We start from the raw sequence: 22,269 nt of genomic DNA on the forward strand, positions 1-22,269 counted from the left end.
GTTGTAGCTACATACTGGGTGGGTTTGTGAGCAGGTTCACTGCCTCCTTGGGTATCAGGATAGAGGAAGTCTCAGGAATCTTAGCTCATTCCTCACTGTTGTGCGCTTGTGTCAGCAGGTTTTGTATTACACTGTGCAGTTCAATCTCCAGGCCAGTAGGTGGCATTTACAGGTAACAGCTGACTATCTGCAGAAGCAGATGGGCATATACTTGATCTTTGTTTACTGAGAGAAGCTCTCTTTTGCTTCAGCCAATGGGCTGTTCTGTGGACCACCCACAAAGCTGGGTGGAGCTGGACTGTCAAGCTCAACTTTGACCTCAGATATCCCAACGGTAAACACGAGCACCAGACCTGACTGGGTGGTTGAGGGAGCTCCTGGTGAAATGTGCTGAGGCTTCTGCTGAGGTTTCTACCTCAGCTCCACGGCCTGGCCAGGTAGGAATGCAATTCACCTTCCTGTCATGTTTCTGTCCTGGCACTCCAGACATTCGGGTCAGACAGACCTCACTATCTCCAAGCTGCAGTGAATCTGAGAGCCATGAAAGGTACCTGCTCTGTGATTCTCTACCAATGTGGTTATGGTGTGGAACTTCTTTTCTCAGCCCAAAACGTAAAACTTTGAGGCTCTCCTCTTCTCTGCTTCAGGAATGCTGCTGCTCTATGTAGAGAGTGGGAAGGGCCCTGCCATTTTGCAAGCCTGGGCCTGGTAAGCACACTGCCAATGGGGTACATCCACCCCTAACAGTCCTAGAATGACCATCCACCAGCATGCCTATGTCAGTCTCCTATGCGTGCAGCCATGGCTGTTTCTGCAGTAGTTGTGGGGAGGGTAGAAAAAAGAGGTCTCCCTCTCCACAGCCATGCTCAAGCACTGGGGCCATATGGCCACTGGGGTGGAACATATTCCTTTCCCACAGAGCTGAGCATGGCATCTTTGTCTCTGCTGGAAGAGACACAGTCAACTTTACCGCATAAGTGGAAGCTCTCAAGCACAGGAAAGAATGTGCTCTGGTTTCCTTTGCCCCAGGGAAGAGGTACTTCCTTGGTGGGCTGCACTCTCTCTTCCCTTAGGAGCAGCACTCCCTGAGACCTGGGCCATGGGCATTCTGCAGCTTCTCTAGGTCCAGTCAGGCCTGTGTGGCTGTCACAATCCCAGCTGGTGCTGGGGAATGTCTGTGGGAGATCTGGCAATGTGGAGACACAAGGGCTGAGGTTACCTGGGCAGAAAACAGTCTCACAATGGGTATGCAGCAAATATGGCACCTGCTACCACAGCTTGGGTCCAGGAACAGGGTGAGTGACTGTGTGCAAGTTGGTAGTCTGGTGTGATGTCCTCAAAAAGTTACCAAATCACCACCCATACTAGTGCTTGGGCTCATGAAAGCAGAGGAGACCTCTAAAGTTTGGAAACCAGCAGTCTGCTGCAAGGGTGAAGGGAGCCAAGAACATTTACCTTTTTGATGAAATACCAAGTCCCTCAGGAGGGTTTGATCTCAGCCAGCCTTTTGCTTCTGTCTTTTTCTGTATGGTAGCTTCTTCCTGTGAGTTCTCCAATAGTTCCGGCACCCTCTCTTTAATATTCTATGTGAGTTTTGATTATTTACCTCTACGTTCCATTCTTCTTTCTGAGGAGAACTTACATGTGACCTCTCTAGTCAGCCATCTTGAAATTTATAAAACCTGAATTTTAGTTTTTTATATTATGGAAAGGTAATATGTTTATAGAAATGTTTTGATGTGTAGAATAATATCTATAGATGTAAGTAAAGGATATTTAAAAGGAGTTTTTTTCTATGTGACTGTACCCAATTTGTCTGAGAAGGCAGCAGAGGGCAAGTACTTTCCCATCCAGCACATGCTGTGAGATCACCTGTGCAGGATGTTCAAGTGCAGTAGAGAAGGGCTGATTTTATGACATTTATCTCAATATGCACTTTGAGCATAAGAAGGATTGATATTTAAACAGAGGATTTTCTGTGTACTGGGAGTCTGCCCTCACTCCCAACACCGGAAAAGTGCTGGGTGCTTCACTCTCACTTCAATCTAGTGTAAAGTGCTGCAAGGTAACCAATCAGGAATCTTGATGTGTTCCTGGATTTGGAGGGACACAGTAGTTTACTGTCTGTGTACTATGGAAGATAATCTTGAAATGAAATATTGGCTGAAGCCATGTATGAAGGTGGGGAAAGAGCTAAGGCTGCACTTTCACCATTTGGCATGAAGGGGGTACTTTCCCATGGGCCTGATGTGAAAGCTGGAGCCTCTGAAATGAATTCTGCAAAGGCAAGGGGGCCCTGGAAGTATGAGAATGTGGGGTTGGTTGCAGAGGCAGGAGCTGATGAGGAGTAGCAATTGGTCAGCTAAAGAAGATACATCAGGGACCTCTGAAGAATTCACAATCATATGCTCAAGAAAAAAGTCAGCTTTGGTCACACCACCAAGAGCATCAACACTGAGCAAATCAAGCAGGTCTTTTCCTGCTTTCTTTTCTTTTGTTTCTCTCCCCTTGCAATCCTGCGGATTTGGGTATAAGGTAGAGAGAAGCTGACAGAGAAACAAGATGTCTGCTTTCTTTGTTTTCCACTGTAAGTTTCCGAAGGAGGCCCAATCTGGAGTAGGGAGAAATAGTCAACTTAAAATGACTTGTGGAATTTTAACTATTACAAGAACCTGTTTGAATTAGTGAAATGAGACAGTTCTTGCAAGTAGAAATGACTATAGAATTTTTAATTGTTCAACAAACAGAGAAAATCTTTTGGGCTCCTTAACATTTCATCCAGGGGCAGGGAAAAAAACCTAGCCACACCCCATAGAGCAGGTATTATGGGCTGGCATTGAGATGGAAAGAATTACAATGCTCGATGACTTTATTTTTTAAAGACAGGTTTACCCATGATTATTGTGTAAATACAGTTGCAATCAAATGCTGTTTGCTTACATGTTCAAATGATTGTTTTCTGTGAATTATCAATGTTAAATTAAAAAAACCAGAAAGTGTTTAGTAAAACCATTTCAAAGTTTATTTATACTATTTTAAAAAAAATTCTGGCTGCATTTTGAAAAATTGGGGGCATTTCTTGAAGATGAGATTTTAAGAAGTTTTTCAAGAAAAAAAACACAGGAATAAGTGTAGAAACTTAAGGTGGGAGAAGGTAAATGCAATGCAAGTAGAGAAAATGAATAGGTGGCTTTAAGAAAGAATTGGAAACTGGAGGGATATAGGAGGAATTCGAGAGAAACAAGTGCATGTGTGTATGTCTGTTGCTCATAGTGGTGAGGGTATAAGCATCCTTCTCCCTAAATCTAATCTTTCTCTTAGACTAACAGGTGCCTTGAACTTTAGGAAAAGTAAAATTTGAAAATGTATCTTTGCATTATTTAGTGATCTTTCCTTCCCTTAACATGACTTTTTTCAGAGCTCATCTCTGTGGTTTGGCATGGCTACAGTTCACTGTCCTATTTTAAAAGACAATCCCAGGTTATTATGAGGAGGGTTAGCTGAGGAGACAGAGCAGGACTGTCTCTCAAATCTTCTTCTGGAAGGCATGAACCGAGCATGTACAAGCAATAAACCTATTTCCACAAGCTTGTCAGTGTATTAAGCCACATACAACATTGATATATTAGTGCTAAATCTCAAATTAGCTACTGGATTTTTAGAACTAAGGGAGGAGAGCCAAACAAAGAAGTTTCTTGTGAATCTATAGCAGCTCCAGGCAGCTGATGAGCTACCAGCCGCTAGTCCTATGAACAGATATTCTGGGCTGTCTATTTATAGTGCCATCTTGTCACATGGGCTGGCATTGTTGTCTGGCGTTATTCTTTACTGTCAGGGAGCTTTACTTTTGGAATAGCCAACTCCTTTCAGTAGACTAAATGGGTTTTTAAGCAGGCCAGCACTGAATCCTGGACTGTACAGCCAAAAAGGTGTAGAAGTTCTAACTCCCTCATTTTTTACACAGGGAGAAATTGAGGTCCCTAGAGATTAGAACACTGCTTAGTTACAGAGTTAGAAATACACCCCATGCCTCTTGACTCCAAGTCTAGTGCCTTTAGCAAAAACTTAAACTAGGAATTTTGTTTTGTTTTGTTTAGATGAGGGTGAGTTTTGGATATGAGGGGGCCAAAGATTTTTAAAAAATTCTTAAACCATATAATTAAACAAATTAACATTTTGTAGTGTCTGAGGCTCCTCTATTATTTGCATAAGCAAAGGAAGAAAAAGAGATGCGTATTCTTTCAACACTTGCCACTGATAATGGTAAATATATGTTAACAATGGCATGATCTGAATAACTTCAAGAAAGACTCAACCCTGCTTATTTAGGTGCAGGCTTAACACATGTAGGTGTACTCAGTTGACCAATGGTATCTGTGACCCTGGATAAGGCACTAAGCAGTCCTGAAAATGTTTCCTCTGCTGTTAAAAAAATTGACCCAGACTTGTTTACATGTAAAATTTTAAAAATTGTAAAATATTTATGAGGATAAAGTATTAAAATTATTTTTTGTAATTGCTACATTGTAATTATAGAAGTGCATCCTCTTCCGTATACATCTGTTACCAGGGCAACTGCATGGATAGTCTATGGAGTTGTACTCCAGGGGTGCAATTAACATAGACTATGGTGCAGGCGGTAGCCTCACTGGCTTTGAACTATGCAAGGGCCCTGCTACCATATGTGATTATATCTTTTTGTTAAAAATAATTTTTTATTTTTTATTTTTGTGTGTATACAGTAGGTGTATGTATTTACGGGGTACATGAGATGTTTTGATACAGGTATGCAATGCATAATAATCACATCATGGAAATGGGGTGTCCATTCCCTCAAGCATTCATCCTTTGTGTTATAAACAATCCAATTATACTCTTTTCATTTTTTTAAATGTACAGTTAAATTATTATTGACTATAGTTGCCCTGTTGTGCTGTCAAATACTAGGCCTTATTTATTCATTCTATTTTTATGTACCCACTAACCATCCCCTCCTCCCCGACACCTCCCAATACCCTTCCCAGCCTCTGGTAACCATTCTTCTACCTTCCGTCTTGCTGGGCTCTCAGTATGTACATTGTGCAGTGCAGGATTGCTCTTCAAAACATGGCCTTGGATAGCCTTTTCCTGGTAGAATGCCTCTTGGACTTTATAACTTCAAACAACATGCTTAGGTCTTAAATCAATATTTTTGACAACGTTTATAAGAAATTATAAGCACACTTCATTTCATTGCATTCACTTTATTGCACTTTTCAGATAGCATTTTTTTTTACAAATTGAAGGTTTGTGGCAACCCTGCGTCAAGCAAGTCTATCGGCACCATATTTCCAACAGCACGTGCTCACTTCATGTCTCTGTGTCACGTTTTGGTAATTCTTACAATATTTTATACTTTTTCATTATTATATATATTATGGTGATTGTGATCAGTGATCTTTGATGTTAATAACATAATTATTTTGGGATGCCACGAACTGCACCCATGTAAGTTGGTGAACTTAATTGATAAATATGCATGTTGTGACTTGTCCACTGACCAGTCATTCCCATATTTCTCTTCTTCTCCTTGGACATCCCTATTTCCCAAGTCACGACAATATTGAAATAGACCAATTAATGACCCTACAATGGCCGCTCAGTGTCCAAGTGAAAAGAAGAGTGGCAGTGCTCTCATTTTAAAGCAAAAGCTAGAAATGATGAAGTGTAGTAAGGAAGGCATTTTAAAAGCTGAAATGGACAGAAAGCTAGGCTTCTTGTACCAAACAGCCAAGCTGTGAATGCAAAGAAAAATTTATTGAAGGAAATTAAAAGTGCTACTCCAGTGCACACAAAAAGAAAGAAAGCAAAACAGCTTTATTGTTGATATGGGGAAAATTTTAGTGGTCTGGATAGAAAATCAAGTCAGCCTCAACATTCCCTTAAGCCAAAGCCTAATTCAGAGCAAGGCCCTAATTCACTAATTCTCTAAAGGCTGAGAGAGATGAGGAAGCTGAAGAAGAAAGGTTTGAAGCTAGCAGAAGTTGGTTCATGAGGTTCAAGGAAAGGAGCCATCTTTGTAATCTAATTGCAAGGTGAAACAGCAAGTGCTGTTGGAGAAGCTGCAGCAAGTTATTCAGAAGATCTGGCTAGTTAATTGATGAAGGTGTGTACATTAAACAACAGATTTTCAATGTAGATGAAACAGCCTCCTGTTGGAAGAAGTTGCCATCTAGGACTTTCATAGAGAGAAGTCAATACCTGGCCTCAAAGCTTCAAAAGACCAGCAGACATTCCTGGGGCCTAATGCAGTTAGTGACTTTAAGGTGAAGCCAATGCTCATTTACAACTCAGAAAAACCTAAGGTCCTTAAGAATCATGTGAACTATACTCTGTCTGTGCTCTAGAAATGGAACAACAAAGCCCAGATGATAGCATAGCTATTTACAGAGTGGTTTCCTGAATATTTTAAACCTATTGTTGAGGCCTACTGCTTAGAAAAAAAGATTTTTTTCAAAATATTGCTGCTTATTGACTATTCGTCTAGTCCCCCAAGAGTTCTGATGGAGATGTACAAAGAGATAAATTTTTTTTCATGCCTGCTAACACAACATCCACTCCGTAGCCCATGGATCAAGAAGTCATTTTGACTTTCAAGTCTTATTATTTAGGAAATATATTTCACAAGGCTATGCCTGCCATACATGTGATTCCTCTGATCAATCTGGGCAGAGCACATTACAAACCTTCTGAATAGGGTTCACCAGTCTAAATGCCATTAATGACATTCATGATTCATGAGAGGAGGTCAAAATATCAACATTACCAGGAGTTTGAAATACATTGATTCCAACTCTCACAGATGACTTTGAGAGGTTCAATACTTCAGTGGAGGGAGTAACTGCATATGTGGTGGAAATAGCAAGAGACCTAGAATTAGAAGTGGAGCCTGAAGATGTGACTGAATTCCCATAATCTCATGATAAAACTTGAACCAGTGAGAAGTTGCTTCTAACGGATGAAGCAAAGAAAGGGGTTTCTTGAGATGGAATCTACTTCTGGTGAAGATGTTGTGAACATTACTGAGATGACAACAAAGGATTTAGAATATTGCATAAATTTAGTTGTAAAGCAGCAGCAGGGTTTGAGAGGATTAACTCCAATTTTGAAAGAAGTTCTACTGTGAGTAAAATGCTGTCACACAGCATCACATGCTACAGAGACATCTTTCATGGACAAGTCAATCAATGTGGCAAACTTCATTGTTGTCTGATTTTAAGAGATTGCCACAGTCACCCTAGACTTCAGCAACCAGCATACTGATCAGTCAGCAACCATCAAAATCGAAGCAAGACTCTCCAGCAGCAAAAAGATTATAACTTGCTGAAGGCTCTGATGTTCGTTAGCATTTTTAGCAATAAGGTATTTTTTAATTAAGGTATATACTTTTTAAAGACACAATGCTATTGTACATTCAATAGACTACAGTACAGTGTAAAGATAACTTTTATATGCACAGATAAACCAACAAATGCTTGTGACCCACTTTACTGTGATATGCATTTTATTGTGGTGGTCTGGCACTGAACCCACAATATCTCCCAGGTATGCCTGTGCATTTATATTCTTAAAATAAAAAAAAAATCCTACTTTTTCCAAAATGGTAAAAATTATTGTGGAAACTTCTTGATTTATATTTCAAATTCAACTATTGGAAATCAAAATCACATAAAGACAAAGTCTGAAAATGCACCAAATGTCAGCAAGGGGAGCTTGAAGGTTTTAAGAGATACATTTGTATGTTCACGGTCCTAAAAGAGTTATCTCAGTGTCATATTTAGTGCCATGTGCTATTGTGTGCTTGGCTGGTCCTGAGCACATTTCCACACTGATTGACATTGCAAATGGAACAAATTCTGCTCTTAATTCCTCTGCATGCAGTTTTTCAAGAGCTCCATGACAACCTTTTAACCCATCTTTTGAAAACCAGCCTGCTTTGCAAGAGCAACAACTTTCACTCTGGCTTGAACTCCCTCTTCAGTCTTTGACATAGGCCACAAATTACAGGGTTAGTTTCTTACATGTACCCTTCATTTTGGTGTGAAAACTTTTTCCTGTTATTTCTTGCTGAACTCTAGAATTATCCCTCAGTTTAAAGTATTTGATTCTATTGGCTGTAGAAACATGCCAAGCTAAACAGCTAAATTCTTAAGCCTCCCTTGCCGGTTTTGGGTAACCGTATGAGAGAATTCCAGCCAATGAGCTATAAATGGAAGTTGTTGGGGAGTCTCTTCAAAGGGGAAGTATGTGCCTATTTGCCCTACCTATTCTTTCTTCCTTTTGTCTGAAACATGTGTAGGATGGGTGGAGCTTCAGTAGCTATCTTGAGAACACAAGTGTCATGCCCAAAGGATGGTGAAATAGAAAACTAGAAAGAACCTGGATCTCCAATGACATCGAGGAGTACCACAACAGACCTAGCTTAGCTCCCTTTGGACTTCTTTTATACTGGAGAAAAATTAACCCTGAATATATTCAACATAGTATTTTGGGGGGTTTGGAACACAATTTCTATTTTTAAAAAATCTTTTAAGTTCAGGGGACATGTGCAGGATATGCTGGTTTGTTACCTAGGTAAACTTGTGTCATGGGGGCTTGTTGTGCAGATTATTTCACCACCCAGGTATGAAGCCTAGTACCTATTAGTTATTTCTCCTGATCCTCTCCCTCCTCCCAGCTTCCACCCTCTGCTAGGTCCCAGTGTATGTTGTTCCCTTCTATGTGGCCGTGTGTTCTCATCATTTAGCTCCCATTTACAAATGACAACGTGTGGTATTTGGTTTTCTGTTTCTGTGTTAGCTTCCTAAGGATACAGGCCTACAGCTCCATCCATGTCCCTGTGAAGGACAAGATCTCATGCTTTTTTATGGCTGCATAATATTCCATGAGGTACCATATATTCTTTATCCAGCCTATCACTGGTGGGCATTTAGGTTGATTCCATGTCCTTGCTATTGTGAATAGTGCTGCAATGAACTTTGTAATATAACAATTACATGCATGTATCTTTATAATAGAACAATTTATATCCCTTTAGGTCTATACCCAGTAATGGGATTGCTGGATCAAATGATATTTCTGTCTTTAGGTCTTTGAGGAATCTCCACACTGTCTTCAACATTGTTGAACTAATTTACACTCCCACTAACAGTGTATAAGCATGGAACACAATTTCTAAGTGATAAATAGATCTTGCCTATCTTTATCCAACATTCCCTGAGATCATTCCCCAACCCTAATTTGGAATGATCTTACCTACTGCAGCCAAGCCAGACTCTCCATTTCTTTCAGGGCATTTCTCAGACTCACATTCTATAAGAAATCTTCTTTTACTCATCTCCTTCTTCTCTCAACAGTCTTTTAATTAAAAATGATTTAAAATTTTGGTGTTTGAGTCAATCTCTCCTACATGTAATATTCTTTTTTTATATGGTCCCCTTTCTGTGTTTCCTGTCCTTCAACATGGAAAGTCACTGGAACTAGACATCTATTGTAGTTCCTTCTGCAATCTCCCATTATGCTGCAGCAATAGGGCCTAGCAAAGTGGTGAGCTCCTCTAAAACTCCATGGTTATTAATTGAATGAACTTTGTCAAATCTAGAGAAACACGGGATGTGAGGGTCTATAATTGAGCAGTTTTTCCTCTTCCTTATTCATATTAATCAGGCTTGGATCGTGGAGCCACCACCTCATCCTACAACTGGTTTCAACATCCACATTTCTTACAGAAGGAGAAGTGAGGTCTCCTGACCTTTCTGGAGTATTCACTTCAGTCTGTCTCTGGGCTTCTCTCAGAGGTTTTAGGTCACTATTTTTCCTTTTCTCTTCCTTCCTCCCTCCTTCCTTTCCTCTTGTTCTCCTCCTCCCCTCCTTTTTTCTCTCTTTTTCCTCATTCTCATTTGTAAAAAAAATTTTTTACAAAAATTTTTTAAAAACAACATTTGAAAACAAGGTTCCAAAATCTATGAGAAGTTAGTTAAAAACCTGACCCTTTCCTACCTTTTTTCTGCCTGGTAACAAACCCCTTTGCCTGAACTTATTCACCGTCTTGTTCTTGTCATTCAAGTGGTTCCTCAGATTCTTCTTTTCCAGGAAGTCTTCTTCAACAGACTGGCAGTGTGAGGCACAGCCTATTCAACAATTGTCTATTCAGTGTATGTGTTGAAATCTACTATGTGCTTATTGCTCTGAGATGCTTCTAGTGAGTGGGAGCCAAATGTAAAATCAAGTGTGATTTTTGACTTGAAAAAATCTATAATCTGGTGAATTTTGGAATTCACACTCACAGAATTCAGTAAGGGTATTCACCCTGTCATACAGAGGTTTAATATTAAGTTCATCCTCTCTGTGGCTCCCCACATTATCTCTGCCTCCTATCCCATGTCAAAGTGGCAATCAGTGAACTCATGAAGTGCCTACTCAATTCCTTCCTTACTAGTCAGCTCACCTTCCACAGTTACTCTTCAATTGCTCATAATGTAACTTCTACACTACTCAATTCAAGCATTTGTAATTCAATTATTTTTTCAAATATTAATACATCAATCAAAGAGCAGGGAATTAGCACTTACTGTTACATAGCTAACATTGGTTTAGATATTTGGGGAATGCAATAAAGGCTGACTATAGGATATTCTCCTGCTTCCTTTCTTCTTCACTTCTAAGAAGCCTTTGCTGATTCTACCCTATTCCTGGGAGAGTTATTCATTCTGTGTTTCCATAGCAGTGATAATGATGATTAATATGGAGATTTAGTAAGTGCCAGACACTGTGATAAGTACTTTTCTTAAGTTTTTTTAATTGAATCCTCCCAACAAACCTAAAAGTATTACTATTATTATTCTAATTATTATAGATAAGGAAACTGAGTTTCAATTAACCAAACTAACCAAGGCTCTGCAACTAGTAAATGTGAGAGGAGAATTCCAACATGGGTAGTCTAGTATGATCATCTCTAATTTAAAGGGACAGAAACTGTCTCAGTCATCTCAGGCTGCCTTAACAAAAAAAAACAGATTATGTGGTTTAAACGACAGAAATTTATCTTCTCACAGTTCTGGGGGCTGGAAATTTCAAGGTCTGATAGAGGGTTGTTTCTGGTGAAGACTCTTTTCCTGGCTTGCAGACAGCTACCTTCTCACTGTATCTTTATATGTAGGAGGGGGAGCAAGCTCTCTAGTCTCTCTTTTTATAAGGGCACTGATCACATCATGGGGCCCTACCATCATGATCTCATTAAATCCCAATTTCCTCTCAATGATCTCATCTCCAAATACCACCATGTTGGGGGTTAGAGCTTCAATATATGAATTTTGGGAGGATACAAACATTCAGCCTATAATAGAAATAAGCCTTAGGAAGATTAGATAAAATAGCCAAAGTCAGAGTTACTAGGTGGCAGAACAAGGACTGAATCCCAGATTTCTGGAGAGCAATGTTCTTCTATGTTACTCTGAGTCAGGAAGGCAAAGGGGTCAGAAAGAGCAAGGAGGATCCTTGGTACTTCCAAATGTTCTCAACTCTTAAACAGCATTGCAGGTCAGGGCATCTTAACTTCAATAATTATCAAGGTATAGAGATCTCTTTCTGTTTTGCTACATTATATTGGTAATATTTTTACTCACAGAGAGAGAAATAGATCTTTTTCCACCTTATTCAGAGACAATGAGTAATTAACCCACCATAAATGAAAGCCAGGTCTTCAGAAAAGAGCTGTCTCTTGTAATTTTTGAGATTGTATCTTAAATAGGGATTTTATATAATAATCATGTTTTGGTGAGGCTTGTAGATTCTTGCCAATATTTTCAATATTGTATCAGTCAAGATTTCAACAGGAAACAGATGGCACATTAAGACTGGGTAATTTGAACCGAGTTTGATAAAAAGACTATTTACAAGGGTATGGACATGGCTTAAGAAAAGCAACAAGGGATGGCATGTAACCCTGTGTTAATATGGACTCTTAACACTGGGAGGCCTGAAGGGACAAATAGAAGGAGAGGTTAGAACCCGGAGGGGGAGCTGTATGAAGGGCTGTGCGACTGGTGCCAGGGCCCTCACTGGGGCAATGTGGCCACCCATGGCCCAGCATGGTGAGTCTGAGGAATAATCAGCACCCTCACTCTCTTCCCACCTCTGATCACTTGACACTGCTCCTCCAGAGCCAATGGCAAGAGGTTATATTGATGTTATCCAAATGTGACAGTCTCCTGGGCAGACACCAGGGTTGAGAAGTGTGGAGGACAAACTAGAATGATAAAGACAGGATATCTAGAAAAAAATACCATTTTCAATGAAATCGTAGCTGGGGAAGTTCTCTTGACTGTCATTTAAGTAGTTTTGCCTCTTTCTATTAAACCTTGTAGGTGGTAGACAGTCTACTGATTGGCATGGTTTCTTTTAGTATATATAATGAAGAGAAAAAGACATAGCATGAATTTAGATATCTTACTGAAAATGAATTGAGAAATATCTTATTTAATCATATTGTACTCAACAACTGGGGTCAGAGTTGTTATAAATCAACAGTATAGATTTGAAAACCAAATTTTTGATTGATTGGACTACGGTGATACTTAATATCAAGTTATTGATAAGAAATTCAAAGTGGTTTTTGAGAGAATATTTTGTAGAAATCATTCTGACAGCTGATTGAGGAGACTTCGTCTAGTAAATTGTAGCCTCTATTTCTGCACTCCCAGGAGGCAATAGTCCCTAGAGACAGGGAATAAAAGGTCAAGGTCTAGCTGTACCACTCACTAGGGCACAGCCAGGCATCATCTCAGCTAGGTCTCAGATGAAGAGAATCATATCTCCCTCCGCTGGTTGCCGAGAGACATTTTGCTTAGTGGCTGGCACAGAGTAAGTATTCCATAAATGTTAGATATTCTAGTTTGAGCGAGTTGGAGAATCTGGCCTGCAAAGAGCAGACAATATTTTTCTAAATAAGGAAGTGATACATTCACTGGAATGTTGGCTTTTTAAAAATGAAAATGAGGTTTCAAAGGGAATATGTGCCTTCTCCAGAAAATGATTAACTATCCAGTCTGTGATACAACACAATTAATTAAATCAAAGTTTGCCTGGAGTGTATGGAAACTGAGACTCAAAAGTGCATTGAGGTATTGAGGCAAGATAGATGTTAAGAACCAAGGAGCAGCAGGGGAGCAGAAGAAGCTGCTCTTTTCTGACCAAGGGAATTTGTTAGAGCTGTGGCAGCCAAGGGATGCCTTGAAAGTCAAATGCAAAGAGGGTATGCATGGCTATCATGCTCTCCCATGACCCAGGAGATAAATTTCCCTTTTTAGCAGCCAGATACTGATATGCTTTCAATAGACTCGTGAAGTAGAGTCATGGTCAAATGGCTCAAACCCTGTGACATAATAAGGTGGCTGCTCAGCATGGAAAAGAGAATTCCGCACCCCCCCCACACTTTTTTTTTTTTTCAAATAAATGAAGAGAGATCTTTATTAAAACAACTAATTTCTTTTTCTTTTTTTTTTTTTAGGTACCTCCTAATTTCTAAACTTTATTTCCTAGTTCTTTACAAATCATTCTGCAGTAGGGTTCAGATCATAACTGTGCTTACATGCCTTGTATTTCTTTTCTTATATTTTACTTTAAGTTCTGGGATACATCTGAAGAATGTGCAGGTTTGTTATGTGCAGGTATACATGTGCCATGGTGGTTTGCTGCACCTACCAACCTGTCATCTAGGTTTTAAGCCCCACATGCATTAGGTATTTGTCCTAATGTTCTCCCTCCCCTTGCCTCTCACCCCCTGACAAGCCCTGGTGTGTGATGTTGCCCTCTCTGTGCCCATGTTAAAACAACTAATTTCAATAAGCCTCAAAACTTTAGCCAATAAAAAATAACAATACAATGTAAAATCTTTCATGTACGTAGTATCTCTGTTTAAGTAACCCTTAACTATTCTTAAGAACTAGTCCCAGGAATACTTGTTCTCAGACCCAGAGTGGGCTTTTCTCACTCTAATTTCCTCTTTTTATTAGGTCTCAAAGACTCTGGCAGCTTCCTTTTTCTTTGTCCTTTGACCTTCTTATCCCATGTTTGAAAATAATTGTTTTCTGACTCTTGATAGAAGTCCTCTTCCTACTCACAGCCTCCTCTTTTATTAGTACCACTTCCAAAGCAATCCACCATCATGAAGACACAGGCAGATGTTCTTTCTTTCTGATTACTAAATTCAGATGTAATTCGCTTATAATAAAGTCTTCCCTTATCCTGCCTTTTCCCAAATTAAATTGGTCAATTTACTCTCTATAGAATGAGTTTCATTATTTTCTGTGTCTCATTTCTTTTGTAGAGATTGCTTTTCTGTAAAATGAGGATCTTAAAAAACTTTATGCATTTATAAAACAAAACTAGAACAAGGTTTTCACTGGTTTCAACATCATATACCTTCCGAAGTTGTTCAGAATGAAGCTTTCTTAAGCCTGTACAATGGGGAAAGACATTTTGAAAGGACTTTCCAAATGGAGTAGCACTGAGAAACTGAAGTGTCCACTTCTATACATGTCTGGTGCCAAGTAGATCAAAGGGCAAATATCTCCCATGAATGGAACACCTGGTTGAGAATATTATATCACTTGTGGTGCATCCTGGGAACTTGAGAGAAACATTTCCTCCTTCTCATGGAGGTAGTGAGATTCTGCCTTTTAAGAGAAGATGCCTAAGAGACAGCAGAATTTATTTGCACTTCTTGCTGAGATGTAGAACTGCTGTCTGGGGACAGTTTGAAGAGAGTCTTAGGGATGTCAAGGGTAGCTTAGTAGTTGGGCTCTACGAAGTGAAATTTCAAGCCTACTTTAGCACATAAATTTGTGGTTCATAGCTTTAAAATAATATTCTTGTTTTTTTCTTTCTTAGTTCAATGGATTGAAGAAAATGTTCACGGAAGGAAGATGATTAATTGATCCAGAGGGCCTGTAGCAACTCTGTTTAACATGCTAGATGAGCCAGTCTTATTCAGTGATGACTAAGGATCTAGAGAAAACTGGTGTCAGGTTGGTCTTCTTCTTCCCACCTATTTTCAGTTGGCCTGCAGTTCCTAGGATGTGTATCCTGTATGCTGGTCACCGGAAGATAGGCAAATTTTTGCTTTGTTGCTGGTTCTGGGACAACAGCCATGGTAAGACCACTTATATCAGTTACCTATTACTACCTAATAAGATCTTCCACAACTTAGCGGCTTAAAACAAGAACTATTCTTTCTTTCAATTCTGTGAGGGGGCTGGGCTCTGCTGATTCATTTTTCTCTTCCATATGCTATCAGCTGGAATCCTTACATGGCTGCACTCTTCTGGGGTTTGGTAATGAGGCGAGAAGGCTTTACTCACATTATTTGGTGGTTGGTTCTGGCTGTTGGGTGACATTTCTCCCCACACGTCATGTGTCTGGTTGACTAGCAGAACTTCTTTACATAGTGGCTCAGGACTTCAAACAAGAATGAAAAGAGAAACTGCCTGGTCTCTTAAAGCCTGGGTCCTGAACCAAAGTGGTGTGAATCATTTTTTTCATATTCTATTGGGCAAAACAAATCACACGGCCAACCCACGTGCCAGGGGAGTGGAAGAGAAATAGTCTTGAACTGTGATGGGCATGTGCCTATAAAAATGGGAATATCTCTTGTTGGCTGTCCTTGCAAATCACACACCACACCACCCGTAGTACGCAAATGACATCAGAGCTGGTAAGCAATCACAGCACCTCAGATACCAAGGCACAGAGCCAGAGGCACAGGTATACTCACATTCTTCTGAATTCCATAAGCACAAATATTATCTTTTTGCCTCACAAAGATTGCCAGCTCAAGTTTGTAGGTGATTTGATAATCACATATGCAGAGATCTTTTTGACTCATTCTACAGAGTAAGATGTCATAGAGAAAAAGATAGCAGAGGAAATGCACAAATAATAATTTAATGACTCCAGGATTTCTTCAGCTCAAAGTAGCAACCAAAACTTTGGCCACTGATTTCATGGTTAAAGAAATTTGGTCATAGTGGGAAATAGAGGGCTTTGGAAAGTCATACCTGAAGTTTAATCCTGACTCCATGACTGGGAGCTTTGTGATCTTGGCAAATAACCTAATTCTCTTAGTGTAATTTTTCTCTTATATAATAGGGGAATGTCATCACTTCCCTCACAGAGTTGCTAAGGATACAAAGTACCTTGCACACTGCTTCTCACATAGCAAATGCTTAGTAAATATGAACTATTATTATCCTTGGATCATCTTACTAATTTGGCTATCAAAATATGGCCCTTTAGGGTTGTCTAAGGAGCAGGCAGCCTCCCTATACTCACCCACTTTCAGTTTATGGAAGAAATTTTGGAAGAGTATAAGTCTTCCAAGTCCATGGGTACCCAGGTGAATCCTGTTCCTGGCTTGTTGCTAAGTGAAGAAAGTCTGAGTCATTTCCCTTCTTTTTTTTTCCTTCCTTTCTATCACCAAATTTACTATTTCCCAAGTTGAAACTTTAAGACTTTAGCAACTATATCCATGGAGGCATGGTTACACATAGAGTATATCCAGTGAAGTTTTCTTTGTCTCTATTCTACTCTTTTTGGGGAGATAAGCATTAACTAGTAAGATATAAAAAGTAGAGCCATAAACTATTCTGTTAGAAAGGGAAGCTATGCAATTTTTAACACTAAACATACTGAATTTCCTGGGACATGACTGAATTGAATTGTTTTTCTCTAATATAAGACCATTTTTTGGACCATGTATCAGTTTGTCCAGGTTTTGGGATGTGGAAATATGGACACCATAGACATTGGGATTAGGAAGTGAATTTTCTTACCATGCATTTCTTGTTATGCCTAGGAAATATTTTTTCCTCCTGCCTCAAAGGCAGATGAGAGCTCTACCTTCTCTTTGTCAATTTTTTTTTTTTTGCTACTAACCACTACTTGATTACCTTTACTTACTGAATCAGCCTCTTGTGTCTCTCAGCTCCAACATCATAAACCATCATGTTATTTTGATATTAAATAGATCTTCCTTTTTAAAGCGGGGGAAGAGATTAAGATGTTAAGTGAAAAGGAGAACCAACCATACTCCCTTCTTAGGATTAGACCAAAATTCTTCTTATGTCATGTTATCTAATTCCAATATCCAGCAAGCAGCTGGGGAAAATTTATTTGGATATTGTGCATTTTTCCTTTTTTTGGAAGAATAGATTTTGTTCCTCTATTTGATAAAAGACAGAAACTGTACATCTTGAAAATAAAGGCATTGGCATTTTAAAGTGATCAGGAGTTCTTGCAGAATTCCAAACATGCATCTTCTGGAAAAAGAAACCCTGTAAAGATAGAGATAAAACGTAGGTTTTTCATTTGCCCCATACTGTATGCATATGAATGTTTTACTTTTCTGTTTGATCTTTAACTGGTTGGGGAGAGGACCTGTTGTTTTTCTTCCCTATTCCCCAAATCACTTCTCTGCTTTCTCAGTCTCTCATCAGTGTTCATGACACCTCAGACCTGGGCAATTGGATTCTTGCCCAGGGTCCTGCACTTCAGAGGGGTCCATTCTATTCTTCCTCTAGCTTTGCCATTCGTCAAGCGGGGAGGAGTCTGAATGGCAAAAGGGATGCCCCCATCCAGGGTCTGCATCTCTCCCAGCTCCACTTTCAGCATGTGAGACCCCAGGAAGCCCTGAGCTTTCAACCCTAGGCCACAGGGTTGGCTGAGGGGCAGCTATTTGAGAGGATGGGTATATTCATACCTGACTATACCCACAAGTATCCACATGACACCCCTCATATGTAGGACAGTGAGGGAGGGTAGGAAAAACAGAGCATTTGAAAGTGTCTATTTATATTTATATCCTAGGACCCATAAATGTTAGAGGCCTGCCCTGTTTGACAGCTAGTCATAATCCTTTTTTACAGCTGCAGAAATGGAGAAAACTGGGGGACTAGTCTCCAGTTATAGAGAGGCATGGGCCAGAGACACGACTAGAACTCTGGTTATTGCCATGGCCGGCTGCTCCCCTCACTGGAAAATATTTACCAGCTGTAGAGGGCTAAGCTTTTCCTCAGAAGCTTTGCTTCTCTGGAAAAATAAAGAGAAAAATTCTTGCCCCTTACTCTGGAAAAAGGTGCTGTAAAAACTAAAGATATTATAGTGTAATCCTCAGAACACTAATCCTAGAGGTCAGAGAGCAGAAACCTGAATCACAGGTTCTGCTGGCTTGCTCAAATGCCATGTTTAGCATCCAAATTCTCTATAATTGATAGGTCAGTAGTAGCTTAAAGATTATAAGCTTTTGTAAATGGGTGACTAGCTCCTGAAGAAAGCCACAAATTTCACCTGATAATACCCAAGTAAAATAGTTACTGTGAGTTTTAGAAATGTTGCCAGAAATAAATTGAAGAGTTTTATGTCTTGAAATTTGGTGCTGTTAATTTCTTTTCAGCTGTCACTGCTAAATCCCCTGTTAACTGAAACACCTTCCAAAGTTCTCTTTAGGTTAACTCGGTATTCTAGGCAATCTATAACTGGCATCTTCTTGCTCCTGAATCACATTTCAGAGCAGACTTCACACAAAAAAGATGATGATGTTAGGTGATCTTCAGTTAATAGTCCCTTTAAATTTACTATCTTCTTGGTATCTCAGTTTGCTGGTTTCTTGAAGATTTTCTATTTAAAGAATGAGCAAATAATCTAGAATAGCGAAGACATATGCTCTGTGAAATATAGTCTTTGCTTCATCTAAATAGAAATAGCCATGCATTCTGTTCTATGTCTCACTCCCTTGACAAAGTTGGACTAATAAAAATTCAGTTCCAGAGACTATGTATATATCCTGTGCATGTATAGGCAATTAAGCAAATATTTGCCCCAGAAATTATTTATTATTGGAAATCTATATTTACTTAAATGAGCAGATCATAGATACTAGATTCAATAATATCAATTCCACTGGCTTTGTGATCTTATATCACTCGACCTTAGCTGCCTTCAGTTTCTTCATATATAAAATAGTGACTGATAGTCCCTGTCCTATAGTTTTTAAAAAATATCAGATGAGATTCTGTATGTAAAATGCTTATTATAATACCAGGTACAAAGTAAGCCCTCAGTAATTCATAGTTATTTGCTTCAGTAAACAAATCTTTGACACAGAGTGCACTGCTGAAAAATAAGAAGGCTTCTTGGTGACCGCAAGGTTAGGGACTACTGGATTCAATAACATCACATATGTCCTTTGATTCATATGTACATATTTAGGTGCTTAAAGTGGAAAAATTCATAAATCATTATAATTCTCACTGATTCTTTCTGCCTATTTCCAGATGACTTCTTGGCAGTCATTTGCAGACTAAGGTAGCTTTGAAGGTGAAGATTCTTTGTGTTCATTCTCATCCTGATGTAAAAATACTACCTGAGACTGGATAATTTATAAACAAAAGAGGTTTAATTGATTCACAGTTCCTCATGCCTGGGGAGGCCTCAGGAAACTTACAATCACAGCGGAAGGCAAAAGGGAAGAAGGCACCTTCTTCACAAGGTGGCAGGAGAGACAGTGAGGAAGTGCCATACTTTAAAACCATCAGCTCTCATGAGACTTCACTCATGATCACGAGAACAGCATGGGGAACCTTCTCCCATGATTCAATCACCTCCCACCAGCTCCCTCCTCGACATGTGGGGATTACAATTTGAGATGAGATTTGGGTGGGTACACAGAGACAAACCATATCTATCAATTCTGAATGTTTAATACCAGTATTATTAGAGGAGGATCTAGTCCCCTTCAGGACATAAGGATCTATGATCCTCTGTCAGAACATATTAGACCCTTTCCTTTGGCTATAACCAAAAGATTATAAACATACATCCAGGAATAAAAATAGTATATTAAAATTGTGTGTGTGTGTGTGTGTACGAATGTAAATTTTTTGTGCCAAATCTAAAGACTCTTTACCTAGTCCTAATGTGTCTTGAAGATCTTCTGCAGTTTTTTTTCTAGAAATTTTATAGTTTTATGTTTTACATTTAAGTCTGTGATTCATTTTTAGTTAATTTTTTTTGTATAAGATGTGAAGCTTAGGTTAAGGTTCATGTTTTTGCCTATGGTTGTTCAATTGCTCTAATAGCATTTATTGAAAAGGTTAATGATTTATTTGTACTTCTGCCAAAATTAATTGATCATACTCATGTGGTCATACTTCCGCTTTCTCTGTTTTATACCACTTAGCTTTGTCTATCTTGCTATCAATACCACACTGTCTTGATTACTGTAGCTATATATTACTGTAGCTATATAGTAAACTTTAATAAAAGGAAGATGAACTTTCTTCTTCTTTTTTCAAAATCGTTTTGGCTGTTTAAGGTCTTTTTCTTTTGGTATACATTTTAGAGTAAAAGTACATACTTCTGTGAAATACCTTACTAAGCTTCTGATAGGAAATACGATAACACTGTAGAACAGTTTAGGGAGGACTGGTATCTTTACTAAATCTTCTAACCCATAAACATGATATTTAGGTCTTCTTGTCTTTCACCAACATTTTGTAATTTTCAACATGTAGATTCTATACAATTTTGTTGAGATTATGTCATCTGTGAATAAAGACTGTTTTATTTCTTTTCCAATTTGTATGCCTTTTATTTTTTTGTGTGCTTGTTATAATGACTAGAACTTCCAGTAATACGTTGAATAATAGTGCTGAAAACAGATTTCCTTGCCTTGTTCCTGATCTTAGAGTGAAAGCATTTAGCCTTTCACCATTATGTATTACATAGATATTGTTTCTTTTTTTTGTGTATGTAATTTCTTATTATGAGATTAAGGAAGTTCCCTTCTATTCCTAGTGTATTGAAAGTTTTTATAATGAATGGGTGTTGAATTTTGTCAAATGCTTTTTCTGTCAATTGGTATAATCATATGACTTTTTTGTTTAGTTTGTTAATATTATGGATGATAATGATAGATTTTTGAATATCAAACTGTCCTTATATACCTAGAATAAATTCCACTTGGTCATGGTATACTAATATTTTTATACACTGATGGATTCAATTTGCTAACATTTTATTGAGGATTTCTGCCCTGCTTTTAAGTCACTTTTGTTTACCTCTTTTTCTGTGTAGCTTAAAGTTTGGCAAATGCCTGAAAGAGGAATTCTTCATGCAGAGCTCAGGTTAGATTAGTTATCTGCTTGTAACTATCATCACTTTATCTGAAGAATCACACAAGTAAGTAACTGTGACAGTTTCCCAAAGGTATGCAAAATGAAAATGATGTAATTGGAAAGATAAAGTGTTACTTATAGAAAGGTCAACCTATAGATTTTCCTATTCATTTATAGGCAGGGTTTTAAGATTCAAATTTGAATACATGTTACATGTGAGACCATGATATGACTATGAATGATAACCCATAAAGCTTGGGTGTACATGAATTTATTATAAGGGTGATTTGATGCAAAGAGCCATTCTAAGAGCACCAAGTGTGAATCTTTTAAAATAATTTTTCTTTATCGTGCAGCAGATGGAACTTTCCATGGCCATTGGAATAAGGATATGTCCCACATGTGTTTCTTTGCACAAATAAAGTCCTGTAAATACAAGGCCCGATTGAAACTTTAGAGACAGATTCATTATTTCTTTGGAGTATCTTGAGAGGAGAGTGCTACAGGAGGCTCTTGATCGGAGCCATGTCACAAGAGTAAGGAGCTGATGGAGTCTTTGCAGGCACTTTAAAGTGAAGGAGACACGGCCTAGGAATAAAAGGCCACATTTTTATGATCTTCACTTTACTGGGCTGGCTTTGCCCTCATTGCTTGCAATTCTAGGTCACAGGATTTAATGAGCCTCTATATATGAATAGGAATCCATTTATGCAAACAAAACATCTCTTTGGGGGCTGGATGATTTACTAGGCAATTATCTAAATTAGCTCAAGAAAATATAGGTTTTTGGGTGAATTGCTGGTCATTAAAATAATTCTATTACTGATTTAGAATTCATGGGAACATTTTGTGTTTAGGAGATCTGATAAAAAAGAAACCATGTTTTTGCTTTTGATGCAGCTGGACCTGTAACCACACAAAGATGTAGACTTTTCAATGATAGATATTTCATTGATTTGAGTAATATCGTCCTCTTAAAAACACTGCATCATTCCTAAGTAGAACAGGAAAAAATAGGTTTGGCTATACTCCATTTTTCAGGATAATTTTCATCAAAGAA

The 22,269-nt window shown here is 38.7% G+C and overlaps 1 long non-coding RNA gene across 1 annotated transcript; it reads left to right on the forward strand.

Moving 5' to 3' along the window:
- The first annotated feature begins 337 nt into the window (after positions 1-337).
- Positions 338-20,667, forward strand: LOC101928505 (uncharacterized). The gene is made up of 3 exons (NR_104668.1): positions 338-437; positions 14,929-15,190; positions 19,368-20,667. It is a non-coding gene; the product is annotated as an uncharacterized LOC101928505 (long non-coding RNA).
- The last annotated feature ends 1,602 nt before the right edge of the window (positions 20,668-22,269 follow it).

The sequence above is a fragment of the Homo sapiens genome, chromosome 5 (assembly GCF_000001405.40).
Source record: "Homo sapiens chromosome 5, GRCh38.p14 Primary Assembly".
In the NCBI taxonomy this organism is placed as follows: domain Eukaryota; kingdom Metazoa; phylum Chordata; class Mammalia; order Primates; family Hominidae; genus Homo; species Homo sapiens.